General features: G+C 55.0%; 2 protein-coding genes across 6 annotated transcripts, besides 21 other annotated features; one reads left to right on the top strand and one right to left on the bottom strand.

Moving 5' to 3' along the window:
• Positions 1,366–1,865: an enhancer, noted in NCBI's record as "H3K4me1 hESC enhancer chr5:176747441-176747940 (GRCh37/hg19 assembly coordinates)". NCBI's record gives its function as "activates a minimal SCP1, AML or CMV promoter by ChIP-STARR-seq in naive H9 embryonic stem cells {active_cell/tissue: H9 hESC(naive)}" and the evidence as "EXISTENCE:reporter gene assay evidence [ECO:0000049][PMID:30033119]".
• Positions 1,866–2,367: an enhancer, noted in NCBI's record as "H3K4me1 hESC enhancer chr5:176746939-176747440 (GRCh37/hg19 assembly coordinates)". NCBI's record gives its function as "activates a minimal SCP1, AML or CMV promoter by ChIP-STARR-seq in naive H9 embryonic stem cells {active_cell/tissue: H9 hESC(naive)}" and the evidence as "EXISTENCE:reporter gene assay evidence [ECO:0000049][PMID:30033119]".
• Positions 4,083–4,377: an enhancer, noted in NCBI's record as "tiled region #13731; HepG2 Activating non-DNase unmatched - State 25:Art". NCBI's record gives its function as "activates a minimal TATA promoter and a strong SV40 promoter by Sharpr-MPRA in HepG2 cells {active_cell/tissue: HepG2}" and the evidence as "EXISTENCE:reporter gene assay evidence [ECO:0000049][PMID:27701403]".
• Positions 4,083–4,377: a silencer, noted in NCBI's record as "tiled region #13731; K562 Repressive DNase matched - State 25:Art". NCBI's record gives its function as "represses a minimal TATA promoter and a strong SV40 promoter by Sharpr-MPRA in K562 cells {active_cell/tissue: K562}" and the evidence as "EXISTENCE:reporter gene assay evidence [ECO:0000049][PMID:27701403]".
• Positions 9,273–9,332: an enhancer, noted in NCBI's record as "active region_23705". NCBI's record gives its function as "activates an Ori minimal core promoter by ATAC-STARR-seq in GM12878 lymphoblastoid cells {active_cell/tissue: GM12878}" and the evidence as "EXISTENCE:reporter gene assay evidence [ECO:0000049][PMID:35858748]".
• Positions 9,553–10,122: a silencer, noted in NCBI's record as "silent region_16681". NCBI's record gives its function as "represses an Ori minimal core promoter by ATAC-STARR-seq in GM12878 lymphoblastoid cells {active_cell/tissue: GM12878}" and the evidence as "EXISTENCE:reporter gene assay evidence [ECO:0000049][PMID:35858748]".
• On the top strand, positions 9,553–16,806 carry MXD3 (MAX dimerization protein 3). Of its 4 annotated transcripts, NM_001394986.1 has the most exons (7): positions 9,553–9,574; positions 10,415–10,544; positions 10,821–10,926; positions 11,608–11,637; positions 11,765–11,879; positions 14,341–14,524; positions 14,602–15,095. In NM_001394986.1, the coding sequence occupies exons 2-7, from the start codon at positions 10,475–10,477 to the stop codon at positions 14,715–14,717; spliced, it is 621 nt and encodes a 206-aa protein (NP_001381915.1). In that variant the 5' UTR covers positions 9,553–9,574; positions 10,415–10,474; the 3' UTR covers positions 14,718–15,095. The 4 variants fall into 4 exon arrangements, with proteins under 4 accessions (NP_001381915.1, NP_001136407.1, NP_112590.1 ...); NM_001142935.2 differs by lacking the exons at positions 9,553–9,574; positions 14,602–15,095 and adding an exon at positions 15,110–16,806 and having other exon boundaries at positions 10,407–10,544; NM_031300.4 differs by lacking the exon at positions 9,553–9,574 and having other exon boundaries at positions 10,407–10,544.
• Positions 10,253–10,432: a silencer, noted in NCBI's record as "silent region_16680". NCBI's record gives its function as "represses an Ori minimal core promoter by ATAC-STARR-seq in GM12878 lymphoblastoid cells {active_cell/tissue: GM12878}" and the evidence as "EXISTENCE:reporter gene assay evidence [ECO:0000049][PMID:35858748]".
• Positions 10,983–11,182: an enhancer, noted in NCBI's record as "active region_23704". NCBI's record gives its function as "activates an Ori minimal core promoter by ATAC-STARR-seq in GM12878 lymphoblastoid cells {active_cell/tissue: GM12878}" and the evidence as "EXISTENCE:reporter gene assay evidence [ECO:0000049][PMID:35858748]".
• Positions 11,440–12,306: an enhancer, noted in NCBI's record as "H3K27ac-H3K4me1 hESC enhancer chr5:176737000-176737866 (GRCh37/hg19 assembly coordinates)". NCBI's record gives its function as "activates a minimal SCP1, AML or CMV promoter by ChIP-STARR-seq in naive H9 embryonic stem cells {active_cell/tissue: H9 hESC(naive)}" and the evidence as "EXISTENCE:reporter gene assay evidence [ECO:0000049][PMID:30033119]".
• Positions 12,553–12,602: an enhancer, noted in NCBI's record as "active region_23703". NCBI's record gives its function as "activates an Ori minimal core promoter by ATAC-STARR-seq in GM12878 lymphoblastoid cells {active_cell/tissue: GM12878}" and the evidence as "EXISTENCE:reporter gene assay evidence [ECO:0000049][PMID:35858748]".
• Positions 12,673–12,742: an enhancer, noted in NCBI's record as "active region_23702". NCBI's record gives its function as "activates an Ori minimal core promoter by ATAC-STARR-seq in GM12878 lymphoblastoid cells {active_cell/tissue: GM12878}" and the evidence as "EXISTENCE:reporter gene assay evidence [ECO:0000049][PMID:35858748]".
• Positions 14,783–14,862: an enhancer, noted in NCBI's record as "active region_23701". NCBI's record gives its function as "activates an Ori minimal core promoter by ATAC-STARR-seq in GM12878 lymphoblastoid cells {active_cell/tissue: GM12878}" and the evidence as "EXISTENCE:reporter gene assay evidence [ECO:0000049][PMID:35858748]".
• On the bottom strand, positions 15,356–18,506 carry PRELID1 (PRELI domain containing 1). 2 transcript variants are annotated; one of them, NM_013237.4, is made up of 5 exons: positions 18,228–18,506; positions 17,455–17,680; positions 16,321–16,434; positions 16,129–16,207; positions 15,356–15,883 (listed from the first exon to the last, which is right to left on the bottom strand). In NM_013237.4, exons 1-5 carry the CDS (start codon positions 18,317–18,319, stop codon positions 15,735–15,737), a joined length of 660 nt encoding a protein of 219 aa, NP_037369.1. In that variant the 5' UTR covers positions 18,320–18,506; the 3' UTR covers positions 15,356–15,734. The 2 variants fall into 2 exon arrangements, with proteins under 2 accessions (NP_037369.1, NP_001258757.1); NM_001271828.2 differs by having other exon boundaries at positions 15,356–15,850.
• Positions 17,376–17,445: an enhancer, noted in NCBI's record as "active region_23700". NCBI's record gives its function as "activates an Ori minimal core promoter by ATAC-STARR-seq in GM12878 lymphoblastoid cells {active_cell/tissue: GM12878}" and the evidence as "EXISTENCE:reporter gene assay evidence [ECO:0000049][PMID:35858748]".
• Positions 17,456–17,525: an enhancer, noted in NCBI's record as "active region_23699". NCBI's record gives its function as "activates an Ori minimal core promoter by ATAC-STARR-seq in GM12878 lymphoblastoid cells {active_cell/tissue: GM12878}" and the evidence as "EXISTENCE:reporter gene assay evidence [ECO:0000049][PMID:35858748]".
• Positions 17,654–18,531: an enhancer, noted in NCBI's record as "NANOG-H3K27ac-H3K4me1 hESC enhancer chr5:176730775-176731652 (GRCh37/hg19 assembly coordinates)". NCBI's record gives its function as "activates a minimal SCP1, AML or CMV promoter by ChIP-STARR-seq in primed H9 embryonic stem cells {active_cell/tissue: H9 hESC(primed)}" and the evidence as "EXISTENCE:reporter gene assay evidence [ECO:0000049][PMID:30033119]".
• Positions 17,654–18,575: a biological region, named in NCBI's record as "NANOG-H3K27ac-H3K4me1 hESC enhancer GRCh37_chr5:176730775-176731652".
• Positions 17,676–17,735: an enhancer, noted in NCBI's record as "active region_23698". NCBI's record gives its function as "activates an Ori minimal core promoter by ATAC-STARR-seq in GM12878 lymphoblastoid cells {active_cell/tissue: GM12878}" and the evidence as "EXISTENCE:reporter gene assay evidence [ECO:0000049][PMID:35858748]".
• Positions 17,756–17,805: an enhancer, noted in NCBI's record as "active region_23697". NCBI's record gives its function as "activates an Ori minimal core promoter by ATAC-STARR-seq in GM12878 lymphoblastoid cells {active_cell/tissue: GM12878}" and the evidence as "EXISTENCE:reporter gene assay evidence [ECO:0000049][PMID:35858748]".
• Positions 17,916–18,015: an enhancer, noted in NCBI's record as "active region_23696". NCBI's record gives its function as "activates an Ori minimal core promoter by ATAC-STARR-seq in GM12878 lymphoblastoid cells {active_cell/tissue: GM12878}" and the evidence as "EXISTENCE:reporter gene assay evidence [ECO:0000049][PMID:35858748]".
• Positions 18,246–18,385: a silencer, noted in NCBI's record as "silent region_16679". NCBI's record gives its function as "represses an Ori minimal core promoter by ATAC-STARR-seq in GM12878 lymphoblastoid cells {active_cell/tissue: GM12878}" and the evidence as "EXISTENCE:reporter gene assay evidence [ECO:0000049][PMID:35858748]".
• Positions 18,496–18,575: a silencer, noted in NCBI's record as "silent region_16678". NCBI's record gives its function as "represses an Ori minimal core promoter by ATAC-STARR-seq in GM12878 lymphoblastoid cells {active_cell/tissue: GM12878}" and the evidence as "EXISTENCE:reporter gene assay evidence [ECO:0000049][PMID:35858748]".

Raw genomic sequence — 18,578 nt, 5'->3', positions numbered from 1 at the left:
AATTTTATATAATTTCTGTGTATATGAGATATATATTATGTGTGTATATGACTGAGGAAGCCAAGCTCATAGGCCTGTGGAGTGAAGTGTTTCCTCAGAGACCAGGCATGCTGTTGGAAACATGAGGGAAGAATAAGCAGTTAGAACCACCTGGAGACACGGATATGCAACTTTTTAGTTGACATAAAGGACTCAATATAGGGGTTGATAACAAAATGGATTCACCAAATTAGTTGAAGATCAACTAATTTGAAGATCAGATCAAAGATCAGAGGACCTTGGGAGGAAACACAGAGATGGAGATTTATAAAGAGATTTATAAAGAGGAGATTTTTAAAGAGAATGGGCCCGGCATGATGGCTCATGCCTGTAATCCCAGTACTTTGGGAGGCCGAGGCAGGCGGATCACGAAGTTGAGATCGAGACCATCTTGGCCAACATGTTGAAACCCCGTCTCTACTAAAAATACAAAAAAATTAGCTGGGTGTGGTGGCGTGTGCCTGTAGTCCCAGCTACTTGGGAGGCTGAAGCCGGAGAATGGCTTGAACCTGGGAGGCAGAGGTTGCAGTGAGCCGAGATCGTGCCACTGCACTCTAGCCTGGTGACAGAGCGAGACTCTGTCTGAAAAAAAAAAAAAAATTAAAAAAATACAAAATTAGACGGGCATGGTGGTGCGTGCCTGTAGTCCCAGCTACTCGGGAGGCTGAGGCAGGAGAATCACTTGAACCTGGGAGGCGGAGGTTGCAGTGAGCTGAGATCGTGCCACTGCACTCCAGCCTGGGCAACAGAGTAAGGCTCTGTCTCAAAAAAAAAAAAAAAAAAAAAAAAAAAGAAAAGAAAAAAAGGAATATGGAGAATATAAATGGAAATCAGCAACCAAAAGATAACTGAAAAAATCCTTTGTATCTGGAAACTAAAAACATACTACCAAATAACATTCGGACTTAAGAATAAATCATAATGAAAGCCCCACACTAAAAGAGGAAAGCTTCAGGACCTGGCTAAAGGAAGAGAGGTTTGTGGCTGGAACAAGAACATTTGCAGGGTGCCCGGATCCCTTGAAGAGGACACCCTGACACTGACCGTGGGAACAGCCTACGCTACACATGCAGGCGTTCAGGTGGAGTACTCTTCCCATACTCCAGAGAACAGGCTGAAACTTTTGACTCAGCAAAGGCCAGAAGGAAAAGGGGAAGTGGTTTATCAAGTGCCTGCTGGAGCATATAACATCCCAGACACTGAGCACTTGCATACAAGTGACCGACATGGCTGGCCCCACCGCTTGCCAGTGCTGCCTGGTCAGTGGGTTAGACTCATCCCATGACGCTAGCAGGGTAGTTGCTCTTGTTGTCTTTGGAAGGACCTTTTCTCTCCTTTTCTTTTTTGAGATGGAGTCTTGCTCTTGTTGCCTAGGCTTTAGTGCAATGGCACAGTCTTGGCTCATTGCAACCTCCGCCTCCTGGGTTCAAGCGATTCTCCTGCCTCAGCCTCCCGAGTAGCTGGGATTACAGGCATGTGCCACCACACCCGGCTAATTTTGTATTTTTAGTAGAGACGAGGTTTCTCCATGTTACTCAGGCTGGTATCAAACTCCCGACCTTAGGTGATCCACCTGCTTTGGCCTCCCAGAGTGCTGGGATTACAGGCGTGAGCCACCATGCCCGGCCATGGAAGGACTTTTTCAAGAAACCGATGTGGTCAGTTTTCCGTATACCTCCAGGTGTTCTGTTCTGGCGTCTGGGTGCTCCACCAGCACGGAGAAAGACGAGTGCCCTGTGGCCTGAGTCCCAGGCACTGAACACTCTAGCCTGGGCAGCAGCTCCGGGAGGACTCAGCTTCCCGAGCACCGCCCTCAGGTTGGGAATCCACAGCAGCACCCACAACACACCACACAGTGCACCAGCCATCAAGGGGGCGCACAAATGACCAGGGCTGCCTTCCAGGCAATGGCCACTGCCTGGTGGATCCAGTTAGTAAGCCAAGAGCAGTTTGAGGACATACCATCTCCATCTGGCATCAAACCACCCTGCTCACTGCGCCAGTTGTTGTAAGGACACCTTGGATTTGTTGTCCTTAGATATGATGTAACAGACACAGAAATGACTGCCATGGTGGGAAGAAGCTTATACTCACAGTTCCCTAGAAACAGGCGGCACCGCACACTAACACGGGCCACACGGGGAAGCACCAGTGTTGGTCGGGGGCAGAGGGAGGGAGGGGAACTGTGGGGCAAGAGCCTTTATTGTGGTTTGCTTAGGAAGGAACCTGAGAGGCAGAGTGAGCAGGTCTAGGATTGCCTAGCTTGAATAATTTCAATGGGTTTGGGGTAGGATGTCCCTAGTTGTCCAGTCTCTGGGGGATAGTGGTGCAGCGTGTAAGAGCCCAGTAAAGGAGGTGGTTGGAAGGTATGGGCTCTGGATTGGTTAGTATGAATATGAAAGGCACGGCACGCTTGCAGGTGAGTGAGTGAGTTACTATCTCTAGGAATTGGATGAGAGGATGGAGTATGATGAACCTTTGATTCCTGGAGGGCCATGAGTTCACTGTGGTATGGAAATGCAGCTGTGCTGTGATCAGTTAGTGGAGGCAAAAATTAATAATGAATTTTAGAAATGATGGATGCAACTCCCAAGGAGTTAGTTCACTGGACGTATAAGGAAATGCAAAGTAACTAGAAACAAGCTAAATATACCATCCTATTGTTCTCTGTAGCAACAATGAAGGCAAAAGATGGTGATAGGGCAGATCCTGAGATTGGGCCAAGCTTGGATTGTGGCTGGTCTGAGCTACAGCTATTCCCAGGGCCACTTTTGAGGGGGAAAATTATGCTGAAACAACAGTGAAGATGGTTAGAATGATTCACAAGAGAGTGGGGAAAACAAAGGGAAGAGTCAAGATACTCATCCCAGCAGGATGGAATCTTTAAAGGGTTCTTAATGAAATGGACTGAATAAAGTAGGCATTGATGGGGTCAAAACAAAGGTCATCTCCAACACCCTTGGAAGTCCTTGGGTGGACAGATGGGAGCTTCTGCTGGTCCCCCACTATTGAAGGGCCCTAAACAAATCTGATTTACTCACCTTAGTTTGGAAGATTTTAAAATGTTAGAGGGAGGCCGGCCTGTAATCCCAGCACTTTGGGAGGATCACCTGAGGTCAGGAGTTCGAGACCAGGCTGACCAACATGGTGAAACCCCATCTCTACCAAAAATACAAAAAAATGGTCAGGCGTGGGGGCACACGCCTGTAATCCCAGCACTTTGGGAGGCTGAGGCGGGCGGATCATGAGGTCAGGAGATCGAGATCATCCTGGCTAACACGGTGAAACCCTGTCTCTACTAAAAATACAAAAAGTTAGCCGGGTGTGGTGGCACGTGCCTGTAGTCCCAGTTACTTGGGAGGCTGAGGCAGGAGAACCGCTTGAACCCAGGAGGCAGAGGTTGCAGTGAGCTGAGATCACACCATTGCACTCCAGCCTGGGCAACAAGAGCAAAACTCTGTCTAAAAAGCAAACAAACAAACAAACAGACAAACTAGCCAGGCATGGTGGCGGGTGCCTGTAATCCCAGCTACTCAGGAGGCTGAGGCAGGAGAATCGCTTGAACCCAGGAGGCAGAGGTTGCAGTAAGCTGAGATCGCGCCATTGCGCTCCAGCCTGGGCGACAGAGTGAGACTCCGTCTCCAGGAAAAAAAAAAAAGGCCAGAGGGAAAGATGACAAGGAGAAAGCTGATAGGTAGTCACCTGGGGCAATTGTGCCACAATCTAATCAAGATAATGACTGACACCCACTGCGGACCCAAGGCCATGTGGACATGAGCCGGTGAAATGGTCAGGGGCTGCAGGAGAGACTTTACTGGGACACCTTTTTGTGGAACCCAAGCTCTGTGATTCCAAAATCTATTTGTGAAGTCCCAATGGGAGCGAGAGTTCGACTGGGAGAATATGGGAATGTGATACCTGATGGAATGGAAACGGTGAGGGTTGAGCAGGCTTTATGCAAAGCGACTGCAGCTCCTTTACCTGAATGTACTATGGGGGTGGATATTGGGTCTGGCTGAGGTGTTTCTCTTACCTAGCATGCTAAAGCGGAAGGCATGTGAATCTCCCCACCTGCCAATATTGATTGGATGTACTTGATGGAAACCAGTAAGATTGCCCAAGCCTGTGCAAGTTGTTCATTTGTTGTACCGTAGCCCCGCTGAGGAGCAGACTGGACCTGAGGGCAAAAGCCGGAGTGCCACCTAGTGGCAACCACTGGGATTTTGGACCAGGAAATTTCCATTTGACTAACTTGCTATTGGATTTAATTAAAGTCCAATTGCCCCTATGACTTAAGGACATAAAATAACCTTGAAACCTGAAATACTTATAATTTCTTGGGTGATGTTGGGGAAATACTCTGATAGGAGGGCAGTGCCCAGAAGGGTCCATCATCATTTGGAAATGATTTTTCTGGAAACATGCTATCTGGGGAATGCAAGAAGGCCGTCCCAAGTGGGTGCCTCTTCCCCCACAGGCAACTTCAGAGCCACCTAAGGAGTTTCACGGGCCACATGGGCAGTGAGTGCCCTATGAACAGCTCTCTATTGACCAACAAGAGCCGCCTGGTTTATGGATGACAGGCGGCTTTCAAGGTGACAGGACAGCTTCCTATCTGGAAGACCATCAAAGAAGGTAAAAACAAATCACCTCAGCAGGTTGAATTGACTGGTGTTTGTGCTACATCTCACGGGCAGTGGCCAACCTGCCCGCACAGTCAGCAGAAGGGCAATGGAAAACTGGCCTATTAGTGATCCCACTAATAGGTCCACATGGGCCTGTGGACATCATTATGGGAGTCGGAGGGGTACATTAAAGTAGGACGTTTGATGTTCATCAGAAGAACCCCATTCCAGGATCAGGGGGTGATTGGATTCAGTCAGTGGATATTCTGGTGTGCTCACTTAAGGAGGCCTCATGATATGAGGGACATACGGGGTTGCCACAGTGCAGGGATGGACTGAGTCTAGACATGTTCCCCTTGCACCCTCTGAGGCACAAAACACCAGTAACTGTTCTGTCTGTCAACGAGAGGCTTGATAGGCAAGTCACACTGAAGCCTGTAGCCCCAGGAAGTGTAAGTCGTGGCAGGAACAGTCACTCTGCACACTGGGCTCAGCTTCCCTGTGGTAGATGCAAATGCTCACAGCACAGTAAAAGGACTGGAACTCAGCTGAGCGCAGTGGCTCACGCCTGTAATCCCAGCATTTTAGGAGGCCGAGGTGGGCAGATCACCTGAGGTCAGGAGTGCGAGACCAGCCTGGCCAACATGGTGAAACCCTGTCTCTACTAAAAATATAAAAATTAGCCGGGCATGGTGGCAGGTGCCTGTAATCTCAGCTACTTGGGAGGCTGAGGCAAGGGAATCGCTTGAACCCAGGAGGTGGAGGTTGCAGTGAGCCGAGACCGCGCCATCCATTGCCCTCCAGCCTGGGGGACAAGAGCGAGACTTCATCTCAAAAAAAAAAAAAAAAAGGTACCAATTTGGACTCTGCCAGGTCACATTTCTTCAGACCAAGGAACACATTTTACAGCACATAGTGTCCAACAGTGGCGGAGACATCCTCCCCAGAGTGATGGTTTGATGAAGAATTGGAATAGGCAAGTGAAACATTTGTTGACTGAAATAGGAAAAGCCAGGCAAGGTGGCTCATGCCTGTAATCCTAGCACTTTGGGAGGCCGAGGCAGACGGATTGCTTGAGCTCAAGAGTTTGAGACCAGCCTGGGCAACAATGGCAAAATCCTGTCTCTACAAAAAATACAAAAAATTAGCTGGGCGTGGTGTTGCACACCTGTAATCCTAGCTACTCAGGAGGCTGAGGCAGGAGGATCACCTGAGCCTGCGAGGTCAAGGCTGTAGTGAGCTGTGTTCATACCACTGCACTCCAGCCTGGGCAACAAAGTAAGACCCTTCATATATTACCAAGTTGGGCAACATACATGAAATTGGGGTTAGAGTAGGGAAGTATGGGTAGAATAAGACAGGAAAAATATTTGAAGAGATAAGAACTGAAAACTTTTGCAGAAGCTCAAGACACCCCAGGCAAGGCAAGCACCAAGAAAACCACACCCAGGCGTGTCACAGCCAACAGTTGAAAACCAAAGGTGAAGAGAAAATATTAAAAGCAGATAGAGGATAACAATACATTATATCCAGTGGAAAAATAAGACTTTCAGCTGACTTAGAAAAAATGCAAATCAGGCCGGGTGCGGTGGCTCAAGCCAGTAATCCCAACACTTTGGGAGACTGAGGGGGGCAAATCACCTGAGGTCAGGAGTTCAAGACCAGCTTGGCCAACATGGTGAAACCCCATCTCTACAAAAAATAAAAAAATTAGGCATGGTGGCATGCAGCTGTGGTCCCAGCTACTTGGGAGGCTGAGGCGGGAGAATTGCTTGAGCCCAGCAGGTCAAGGCTGCAATGAGCCCTCATTGTGTCACTGCACTCCAGCTGGGTGACAGCAGAAGACCCCACCTCAAAAAAAAAAAAAAAAAAAATGGCCATACTACTGAGCCTACAGAGGCCTGTTTGCAGTGTTCCTCCCCGGATAGCAGGGGCTGCCAGGCACTTCTGAGACCTGTCTAGCCAGGGCTGGCCTCTTGGCTTAGCCCCTGTGACACCAAGCGAGGGACCGGCTGGCACCCAACTCCTGATCATTATGCTGCACTGCCACAACAGCTGGGGTTGGCGGGGGGGGGGGGTGCGTTCCAGAGGTGGCCTCTGTGTGGGGGTCTGCTGACTGCTTCTTCTGACATCCTATGGGCATGGAGACACAGGCCCACCAGCCCTTCCCTACCCCTTGCCTATGGCTTGGCCAAGCCCCTGTTCGGCATTGGTTTGCTCTGTCGCTGAGGTCGTAGTCTGCAGGAAGAGGCTGACCCTGAGAGATGCAGGGCCCACTGCTACTTGGGAGAATGCGCTGAAGGAGGGAGGCCTGGGAACCTCCTGGAGCAAGTGACATTGAGCAGAGATGGCAGAGGCAGGGAGGTGGGCAAGGCCATGGCATGTCCCCTGCCCAGCTCAAACTTTGTCCTGAAGGCCATGGGAGCGTGGGCCTTCAGCGGGGGCATGAGGCCTTCAGTGGGGGCGTGACCTGGTTAGCTCTGTGACTGGGGAGTGCTGCTCTCTGGGAGAGGGGAGGCTGCGGGCAGCCCAGGGAGGAGGCTGGGCAGGGTTCCAGGGTCGGAGCCAGGCTCCCGACTCCCCCGATGACTCTTCCTTGCAGGGGAGAAGGGGAAAGGGATCTGGGGAACGCAGGGCCATCTCCTCCTGCACCATGGAGTGTCCATGGAGTGGAGGAGGACGGTGAGCCCAGGATTGGCTCCCCTCTTCAAGGGGTCCTAACTGGGACAAAGGCCTGGGGCGGGGGGGTCTCCCTTCTCCCCTTCCACTCAGGGCACAGATGCAGACTCTGTCCTTGGAGCCCAGAGGACCATAGACCCGGGTAGAGTCTGCACTGCAAGTACAGGCAGCAGAACCCCAGTTACAGTGGGCTGGTGGAGGCAGGAGGTCACAGGGCGAAGCGCAGGACCCTGCGGACTCCAGGGCAGAGGATCTGGGCTGGTCACTGCTGGGGGGGCACTGCAGCTCCTCTGTCCAGTCCTGTGCCTAGAGGCCACTAGCTCTAGCATTTTCTCACAGGGGCCCAGGGGACATCCAAGGGCTTGGGGCAGGATCCCTGCTGGTCCAGGCTGGATCCCCCCATGCCCCGTCCCATCCTGTTCCTGGGGAGGTATTGTTCCTGTCTGGCCTGGCCGGTGGCCTTGACCCCAGCCCACATGCTGTCCCTGGCTCAAAACCGCTCTGCAGCTCCTAGGATGAAGTCCAAACTCCTTGACATGAGCCCTCCAGCCCCTCTGCAGCCCCACCCCGACTCCCACCACCTCCTGGCCATGTCTTCAGCTCACATATGCTTCCTTCTTTCCCTTTGCTGAAAATTCTCCTCCTTCAGAACCTCCCCACCCCTATCCCACCCAGACTGGAGGCCAGGCCACCTAGGGCCCAGACATCTGAGTAGGTTCGTGTCTGCACTGCATGGTGCTGACTTTAGTGAAATAAAATTGGAAATTCATTCACAACCCTTGCGGCTCCTTCCTTCAGAGATGGCTGATTGCAGGGGGGAGTTTGGGGGAACCCATCAGCATGTTCTGGGCCCTGCAGCCTCTCCAGTGTCAGCCTGCACCAGGCTATTTGCTCTCTGTAAGCCACACCGCCCCTGCCATGCTCCTTTCAGCCCCAGGGCCTTTGCATGTGCTGTTCCTTTGTCTAGAATTCTTTCATCTCTCCTATACTTAGATAACACCTCTTCATCCATTTCCCCAGTAAAGCCTTCTCTGGCCTCACCAATTAGGTCAAATGTTCCTTAGAATGTGTTGTGGGGCATGGTCTCTCCCTGTGAGGACCTGTCCAGCTGGACCTCCGCCTTCCTGCGACTGTATTGGTGTCTTTCCCTCTCAAGCCTATGAGCTCTGCAAGGGCAGGGACCCTGTATGATTTTGCCTATCGTATGTCCTCCAGCCCCCAGCACAGCGCCTGGTGTCCAGTGAGAGCTCAGCAAATACTTTGTGAGTTAAGGACAGGCGGCTGGGTAGATGGATCGTCTGCCTAGACAGGGCAGTTATTCCGCTGTGAGCAACTCTTAGAGAAACTTCATTTTTTTTCGGCGCCTGGCCGAAACTTCAAGATGTTTCCCGGCCAGGAACGGTGGCTCACACCTGTAATCCCAGCACTTTGGGAGGCTGAGGTGGGTGGATCACCTGAGGTCAGGAGTTCGAGACCAGCCTGGCCAACACGGTGAAACCCCGTCTCTACTAAAAATACAAAAATTAGCTGGGTGTGGTGGTGGGCGCTTGTAGTCTCAGCTACTTGGGAGGCTGAGGCAGGAGAATTGCTTGAACCCGGGAGGCGGAGGTTGCAGTGAGTCGAGACTGAGCCATTGCGCTTCAGCCTGGGCAACAGAGCAAGACTCAAAAAAAAAAAAAAGATTTTTCCCAAGGAACTGAGGCCTGACTGACATGTGCTTGTGTTTACCAGGACTGTCTCTTTACAGAGCATCTATCCCTCCCACCTTCCCTCCCCTCTCTATTTTGGGATTACTGGAGTCACAGACTCAGCCCGTGGCTGGCAGCAATGCTCCACCCTGCTACAGCTGCGTTCATCTTCCTGTCCCCAGATGTGGCCCCACCTGCTGGTGCTGAGGCTAGAAGTCATCACAGCCACTCCTTCGGCCGGCTAGGAGAGTCAGGTGCAAGAAGGGTTTATGGACTCTGAGTAAGGCAAGCAGGGGCTGCCTGGGAGGCAAACGCCGCGGTCTGGTTGCACTGGCCTTTGAGATGGGCGGCTCCTTCATGCCATGGGCACCGCAGAGGCATTGGCTCTGATCCTTCAACGCTGTCGCAGGGCTCCTGAGGCTTAGAGACGGAGGTCACCTCCTGAGTCATACACAGCTGAGACATCAGTGACAGGAGAGGACCCCAACTGCGTGGATACCAGAGCCCAAGGCCCCGGAAAAGGCCATTTCGCGTGCCTCCAGGGTATGGCCTGCCTGAGGAAGCTGTTACCCCACTGACGTTTTCGTAGCAACAACAGCTTCCTCACAGAAGAGGAGGGGGGCCGAGATATTATTCCCATTCGACACAGTAGGAAGCTGGGGCCCACGGGGGCCTTCGGGGGCAGATGGCAGGCAGGCTTGGGGACAGACCCCGGAGGGCAGGAGCCGGGTCCGCCGCCCCTCCGCCGGCGCCTGCGCATTGAGGCCCAGCTCCCCTCTCAACCCCGCCCCATCGCTTGGGTTTTCAAATTTGAAACCTGCTTCTTTTCCCGCCCGAACGTGTGGATCAGCGGCGGGAGAGGGCGGGGCAGAGCGCCAGCCAATAGGGCATCAGAGGCTCCCCGACCCCGCCCCGAGGATGACAACAGCGATCCTTGAGAAGCCATGTGCGAATGGGCGAGCGGCGGCCGGAGGCCCCGCCCCCGCGGCACCCACGTGCAGCGGCTGGGCCCGGCGCTTTCAGGGGACCACCAGGCCCCCAGAGCGCCGTGCTATGTTGGGGGCTAGTCACTAGCACGGGGCTGGAAGCTGAGATCAAAGACGCCAATGAGCCGGCGTGGGTGGATGAGTGAGGCGGGCAAGAAGCAGCACCGGTTAGCCTGAGGGTTCGCTCCAGGGCCAGGCCTGGAGCCAGCGCCCTTACCTGCCCCTGGAAAGTCTGAGACCACTCGGGGCGGGGCGGCTGCCGGAGGGTGGGCTGCGGCTCCGTGGCGGGTTCCAGAGGGGCGGAGCCAAGGGCTGGGCGTTCCCGCGGGCGGGGCGTCCCGGGGGCGGGGCGGGCCCCTGTGTTTGTTGCACCGTGTCAGTTACTTTGTAACAAAAGTGCTGCAGCCGCTTGCTCCGGCCGGCACCCTAGGCCGGCCCGCCGCCAGCTGTCGCCGACATGGAACCCTTGGCCAGCAACATCCAGGTCCTGCTGCAGGCGGCCGAGTTCCTGGAGCGCCGTGAGAGAGGTGAGGAAGGACCCTTGGCTGAATTCCGGGCGGCGACCTCGCTGACACGGGCCTGGACTGGACCTGGCTCCCAGCTTGAAGGATGCACCGCCCTAGGACAGTAATCCCGGGGCGCCTCGCCCTCAACTCGAGAGGAGTCCCGGGGCGGTAGAGCAGGGACGGGTGGGGGAAATGGTCCTGGCGCCAAAAGCCTTTCCTTGACCGTGCTGTGCCTGGGGCTGCCGCTGGGACCAGGTCCAGCCCCAGCCTGACGCGGGCGGGGACTCTCTCTGGCAGAGGCCGAGCATGGTTATGCGTCCCTGTGCCCGCATCGCAGTCCAGGCCCCATCCACAGGAGGAAGAAGCGACCCCCCCAGGCTCCTGGCGCGCAGGACAGCGGGCGGTGAGGAGGCCGGGGGCGGCGGGAGTGGGGGTGGGGGTGGGCGCCGCCCCTGGTCGGGCCCTCCTCTGCCCACTTGTTGCTTGCATCTTTTGGGCCAGGTGTCCCGCTCCAGGAAGCGTTCAGACCCCTCCTGCCATCTCCCCACTCTCCAAACACACTCACACCTTTCTATTCATTCAAGGACTATTTCTTGAGCACCTCTAGATGTGCCGGGAACTGCCAACAGCAGTTGGGGTCCCGCTTCCACTCGCACTCCCGCACCCCACACATCAGGCCACTCACCTCCCCCGCTGGCTTCCTCCTCTTCTCTCCTCTCCCCAGCCCTTTGCATATGCTGTTCCCTCCTATTTGAATGCCCCTCCCTCCAGTACCGGCTTGGGAAACATCTGTTTCCGCAGTTAGCTGTCACCTCTGGGAGGTCCTTTCTGGCCAGCTGGCAGGCGCCCTTGTTAGGGCCCTCATACCCACCTGGGCAGGCTTCTGTTAAGCATTTGGCTCCGTGTGTCTTTGACTCCCCTCGCCCTGCCAGGGGACTCTGGTGTCTGAGGCCAGCATGAGCTCTCCACAGGGGACTTGTTTGGGGCAGACATCTGTAGTGGCTCTTGAGCCACTGGGGGCCCTGGGATTGGGGCATGGGCAGTAGCTGATTCCCCTTCACCTCATCCTCTCTGGCATTGGCAGGTCAGTGCACAATGAACTGGAGAAGCGCAGGTGAGTCCCAGTCCTGCCCTGACAGCGCCAGCCCCCAGGGGCCACTGCCCTCTGGCCTTCCCTCCCCTGCCATTCCTGTGGCCGGCAAGGTGGGGCTGGCACTGCCCTCCAGACCTCTTCCCCACAGGAGGGCCCAGTTGAAGCGGTGCCTGGAGCGGCTGAAGCAGCAGATGCCCCTGGGGGCCGACTGTGCCCGGTACACCACGCTGAGCCTGCTGCGCCGTGCCAGGATGCACATCCAGGTGAGGCCCCCCACTGCGCCCGGACTGGCTTGCCCTGGTGTATGGAGGGCTGTGCTATGGAGGGGCTGGTGGGACTGGGGAACGAGACCTGAGGTCAGAGCTCAAGAACTGTGTGACTTAGGACAGCTCTCTGAGCTTTTACTTTCCAGATCCATTAAATGGGAAGAAAAGCAGACAATAACTCAGAGGGTTGTTGAGGCTTAAATGAGTTCACTCTATAAATGTTCACTGTTGCTGTTACAGCTGTTATCACTTAGATCACAGCTGTGAGACCTTGGGCAGGTTACTTAGCCTGTCTGGACTAACCTTCCCTCCTGTTTGAGGGGAGGGGATGGCTGTTGAATTCTGTGATGGGATGTATGTGGGGGTCCTTGGGACTGTAGAGGGTTGGTCCTTGCTCTCCCCCTCTCACCTTCAAGGCCTCCTGTTATGGGCAGTCTATCCTGGTGCCACCTGGGAGGCAGCTCCAGGGACAGGAGGGGAAAGGACTGAGAAGACGCCAGTCACTGGTCCTCCCAGGGCTCCTGCTGCTGCTGGGGCTGAGCTCAGTGCCCCCTGGTGGACAGGAGTGGATGTGCTGAATAAAGGCCCAGGTGGCCCTGGCCATGTCAGAAGTGGCCTTGGAAACCACAGGACTTTTCCTGCCCTCTAGAGGAATACATGAAGGCACAGCTAGGCTGAGGGCCAACAAGTTGCACAGCTGATGGGCGGCAGATTCAGGACCCATGCCCAGTTCCCTGGCTTGCGTTATCTCCTCTGACAAGTGTTTACTGAGCACTGGTTCTGCTAGGCCCTATTCTAGGCACTGGGGGCTGTGGCACACAAAGACCTATGCGCTGTTAGTAAATAAACCACAGCTGCGGGAACAGCTGCACTGCCGCCCGGCGTCTGTTATTACCATCATTGTGGCTGAGTAACACTCTGGTTGGGTAGTGGCCCAGTTTCTCACACGGAGCTTGCCTGGCCTGGTTCTCGGATGGATGATGTGTGCCCCTCAGGGGCTGGCTGGCCTGTGGGCAGGACCTGGGCAGTGCTCCTTCTCTGGGGCTCCATCACCCCTCTCCTGGATTAATTCACCGGCCTCCTCCCAGCCTTCCTGTTACCTGTTTTGCCTCCACCAGGCTGTCTTCTACTTTGCTCTAGAATGATCTCTGCAGCACACCTATCTACCCAGGCCCATCTCCTGCTGAAAACCCACCAGTGGCCCCTGACAGGACAAAGCCTCTGCTCCCCTTCCTTCCTGTGAAACTCAAGGCCCTTCATAACCCAGGACTTGCCAGTAGGCTGCTCTTTTGGCCTCATCTCTCCCTGTGCCCCACAGAAGCTGAATGCTCTGTGCTCTTCCCAGGCTCCCTCTGCTGTGTCTTGACGTTTCTTCCTCCCTGTGTTTGCCTCGGCAGCTCTTATCTTTCTACGCCCAGTCCAAACGCCTCCATGGCCCAGTTCTCCCCTTCTTGTTGAATGACCGAATGTAAGCTTCTGCCCACTGAGGGCTCCGCCTGGGAGAGCCCTTGGCCTTCCAGTCCTTGGAACTTCAGGGCTGGCAGAGCTTGGCGGGAGGTAGGGGTATGGGAGGGAGGGTGCTAACGCCTTCACGCTCTCGCTCTTGTAGGGATCGTGACCAGGAGCTACAGACTGGTAGCCTTTGTTTGTTCTCTAGTTTTCTAAAAATTTAAATTAGCTGTCAATCCCTCAAAAGACATTTGACATGAAAAATCTGACTTTCCAGCTAGCTTCTCGTAAAGAAATGGGGGGCCGGGCGCGGTGGCTCACACCTATAATCTCAGCACTTTAGGAGGCTGAGGCAGGCGGATTACCTGAGGTCAGGAGTTTGAGACCAGCCTGACCAATATGGTGAAACCCCGTCTCCACTAAAAATACAAAAATTAGCTGGGCATGGTGGCGGGCCCCTGTAGTCCCAGCTACTTGTGAGGCCGAGACTAGGGAATTGCTTGAACTTAAGAGGTGGAGGTTGTGGTGAGCCGAGATTGTGCCACTGCACTCCAGCCTGGGCGACAGAGCGAGACTCTGTTTCAAAAAAAAAAAACAAAAAACAAAAGAAACGGGGAGACCTGGTAACACCGGGCCTGTTTCCCATGACAGCACATGCCTGGCTCCTGAGCCAGAGTGTACACGCAGCAGTGCACCCTGCTCCCAGTTCCCACCCCTGGACGCCACAGCACTCCAGTCCTTTATCCTTGACTAGGCCCCAAATGCCTTTGAGATTGTGGTGCCCCCCCACCCCCAATCTAGGCAGCACCCTGACAGGACGTGTGCATGGCCGGAAAGGGGCTGGCTTTCTGGAGGATGTGGGTGCAACCCTCTGGGGCCTGGATTTAGTCGCCACCTGCCCGGAGTGGGCATTGGCCCTGTGGCCGTGGCCCGGTACTGAGTGGTGCTGGGGTGCAGCCCAAGCCCCCACGCCGCTGACCCCAGCCCCTTGCTCCTTTGGGATCCGCAGAAGCTGGAGGATCAGGAGCAGCGGGCCCGACAGCTCAAGGAGAGGCTGCGCAGCAAGCAGCAGAGCCTGCAGCGGCAGCTGGAGCAGCTCCGGGGGCTGGCAGGGGCGGCCGAGCGGGAGCGGCTGCGGGCGGACAGTCTGGACTCCTCAGGCCTCTCCTCTGAGCGCTCAGACTCAGACCAAGGTGAGTGCCCCGAGGCTGAGGGGTTGTGTGGCCCTCGGGGCGAGCCAGGTCTTCTGACCGGACCCCTCCCCGCGCAGAGGAGCTGGAGGTGGATGTGGAGAGCCTGGTGTTTGGGGGTGAGGCCGAGCTGCTGCGGGGCTTCGTCGCCGGCCAGGAGCACAGCTACTCGCACGGCGGCGGCGCCTGGCTATGATGTTCCTCACCCAGGGCGGGCCTCTGCCCTCTACTCGTGCCAGGCCCACTTGCCAGGCAGGAGCCCTCCCCAAGCCTTCAGGGCTGCTCGGAGTCACCTGTTGGAATGGACTAAAAGGACCCTTGTGTGGGAACAGGTGCTCCCCAAACACCCTGCTGCTGGCTGCCAGGCAGGCCCTCTGGAAGGGAAGGGGCAGGACTCATCAGGACCTCCCTGGACCCCTGCAGGGCAGGCAGCTTGGGCCCGAGCCCAAGCATTTGGCTCTGCTGCCCCCAAGGGGACAGGAAGCCTCTTGGGCCTCTTCCCTTCCTGGACAAGGCCCCCTGCCTTTGCCTCACATAAACTGTACAGTATTTTCATTAAAAGCCTCTTTCATAACTTCCCGTCCATAGTCTTGCCTAATGAAAACGGGGGAACTCCCAACCACAGACCCACTGGAAGAGGAAATAATATCAGTTCCCATCACTGACACTGTTGGCCGTGCCAGGCAGTGCACTTAATTCTCACAACTTGAGGCTGTTCTGTCTCCACTTCACGGATGGTAGAAATGAGGCTGAGTGACGTGACTCGCCTGAGGTCCAAAAACAGTGAAGCCAAGATTCAAACCAGAGCCTTCCGACTCCAGAGCTGGGGCCAACTGAATTCAACAAGTATTTATTGAGTGTCTATTATGTGCTAGATACTGAGACACATCAGAGAACAAAACCAAAAGCCCTGCCCTTGTCGGGCTTACAGTCTAGCACTTACCGCCAGTTAACCTGCAGGCTACCTGGAGCCCCGGGCAAGTCACCGCACCTCTGTGCCTCGGTCCTCAGCTGCCCAATGGGAGAATAAGCAGACCTGGCTCAGACATGAATCATGTGCTTGGTGTACTGCAGATGCCAAACTGCATCCCCACAACCCACCACGTAGACAGCAGACAGGGCTGGAAGTTGATTTTTAATGATAAAGTACAATGAAGGGAGGGCAGAGAGGCTAAGCCTAGCTGTCTGGGGTGCTGTGGTGGTGGTAGACTGGCTACACAAACTGTTGCTGCTGCTGCTGCTTCTTGGTGGCCGCCTTGCTGGCGAGGTCCTTGGCCTTCTCTGTAGCTGCCAGTGCCGTCTCCTTTGCCTTCTCCTTGGCTTCCTTGGCTGTCTCAACAAGTGTTTTGGAAGGGGCCTCGCCTGTCGCGAACGGCAGGTGGCTGCCTTTAGAAGATGCCTGAAAGACCAACCTAATTTCCCTCCCCCATGACACCAATCTCCTCTGGGCCAGGCTCCACTAAAAAGGTGGTATTCACCCTCCTCCCACCCCCAGTACAGACAAGGAGTCCCAGCTCAGAGCAGGGCAATGACTAACCCAGACTCCACGCCCGCTAGGCTGAATGAGCCTCTCCCTATGAGGAATATCCACATACCCAGAAACTCACCTTGCAGCTTAGCCAAGATATATTCAAAACCCTTCATAGTCTTGGTCACGTTGCTTTTGAATCGGGCAAGACCAAATTCCTGGCATGAGATGAGAATGGGAAGGATACTGAGTTGCCCACTGACCCCAGCCCAGCCCCAACACCGAAAGCACTGGGTCCCAGAGCCCCAGCAGCCCCAACAACACTGCTCACCTGGACAGCTCTGGAGACACCAAATAAGCTAGAGGAGACCCAGGCTTCCCGGCGGATTTCAGTCCAGCCACTGTTGTCAGAGTTCACACAGTAAACACATCGTTCCTCCACCACCTATGCAGAGGCCAACCACAATCGTGGAACAGTCTTTCATTTTGCCAACTTGCACATAAATCTGACTCCCTGTCACTTTTCATGAGGCGAAGCAATACAATGAAAATCCATTCCTTCCCCTGACTGCACCTCCAAGTGGCACTGACAGAACAAGAAGCCATAAATAAGGTCGTTTTGCTCTCGAAAACCTCTCTTCTGACTCTTAAACTAGAAGGCAAAAGGTCTCTCTCTTGAGATCAACAAAGGGCCTTCCAGCCCATCCTGCTCCTGGATTTTGTTTTGTGCATCTAGACGCATGCAGTGTTTTAGCCGCCTTCCACCAGCTGCAGCTCTGGAGCTTCCTGACAGTCCAAATAAAAACATTTGCCCGGCGCGGTGGCTCACGCCTGTAATCTTAGCACTTTGGGAGGCCGAGGCGGGCGGATCACTTGAGGTTAGGAGTTCGAGACCAGCCTGGCCAACATGGTAAAACCTTGTCTGTACTAAAAATACAAAAATTAGCCAGGCGTGGTGGTGTGTGCTTAGAAATCCACCTCTTCAGAAGGCTGAGGCACGAGAATTGCTTAAACCCAGGAGGTGGCAGTGGCAGTGAGGTGAGATCATGTCACTACACTCCAACCTGGGTGAGACTCTTGTCACCAGAAAAAAACAAAAAACAGAAAAAAAAAAAAGAAAAGCACTGCCTCCGCCACTCAGCATCACTCCTGTGAGTCCAACATATATCTGTGCCATAGATGCCAGATGGGAGCGCTTTGCATTTAGAACTTAGGACAACTCCGTAAGATAGGTACCCCTCCCCCACTGTATGAATGAGTCAAAGGACAGGTCCAGAGAGGATGGCCAGCTGAAAAGAAGAAAACCTGAGGTCATACTCTACAGCTGTCAACCCTCAGTAACCCAGACCTGCCTCCGGCCACAAAAGCTGCCTTATGGCTCTCTAGCCACATGTATCTGAGGAGCTCTCTATCTCGGGGGGAGGGGAGAGGGGGAGGTGCAGAATCACAACAGGAGGTGTCTCACCATCAGCCGGGCGTGGTTGATGTTCCAGGTGAAGGTAGTCATGGTCTGATTCTGTGGGTCCACAATAGAGTCCTCCAGGACGTACACCGAGTGAGCAACATTGGCAGGAAATAGTCGCTCGGCCCAGCGTGGCATCCTGTTGGTCTTGGTCAGGAGTCGCCGGGACAGCAGTTTCTGGTCAGGGGTCACCTCCCGGTGTACTATGTCTTCCGTCAAGACATGTTTGCTGCAGGTGTCAGGGTGAAGGTGACCCTCAGAAGCTTGCCCCTAAGAGACTGCCCGAGGGGATTCCCATTTGGAGGCTCCGGGCCTAGAGAGGCCACGCCTTCCCGTAACCTTGCAGGGTGGTATGTGCTATGGTTCAAACCAGAGTTAAGGGCCCATCCCAGGGCAAATTCCCACTCCCGCCATCTGACTGACCTGGATTCCTGCCTTCTAGCAGGAATGGACCTCATGATTTATTGCACCCCAGGAAAGCGCCACGGGCAGAGAAATAGGATTTCCAACTCCAAGATCCCTCCCAACTCCCATACTGCCGCCTCTTCTTGTCTCACCACACTGAGAAAAGAATCTTACACTAAGGTCTCAAGTAAACCACCACCCAGGCCCAACCTCCCTTCAGGACCTTGCAGGCCTGGCCTGGCCGCTTCCCCGATAAGGTCTACCTAGGATTCGATATCGAGTCCTTCCTGGTCCCAGTACTTGGGGGTTACCCATAATTCGATCTCCAGATAGCGAGATGGCGCGGTTTTGCTCTTCCAAATACCACGTACCTATAGGGATTCGGGTACCGCTGCCAGAAGGCGGCGAACACTTGGTCCCAGGAACTCCGGAGCACGCTCTGGCCCAGGAAATACTTCACCATCGTCCCGGCCGAAGCGGGCTCAGCACCCGCGCAGCATCAGGGGTGCGGAGCCTGGGAGGCACGCGAGGGCCGGGCCGGGCCGGGGCTCGGCGCACACCCGCCGCCAGGCTCGTAGCTCAGTCACCACCGCACCGCGCCCAAGCAGCTGCCGCCGCCGCCGCCGCCGCCATGAGTTGTCCGGCCGCGCGCCACTTCCGGCGCAGCCACACAGTAGCCACCGCTTCCGGCGCCCGCGCCACGTGACCTTGCGGCCCCGCCC

The sequence above is a fragment of the Homo sapiens genome, chromosome 5 (assembly GCF_000001405.40).
Source record: "Homo sapiens chromosome 5, GRCh38.p14 Primary Assembly".
Lineage (NCBI taxonomy): Eukaryota > Metazoa > Chordata > Mammalia > Primates > Hominidae > Homo > Homo sapiens.
This window is presented reverse-complemented; position numbering and strand designations above follow the sequence as displayed.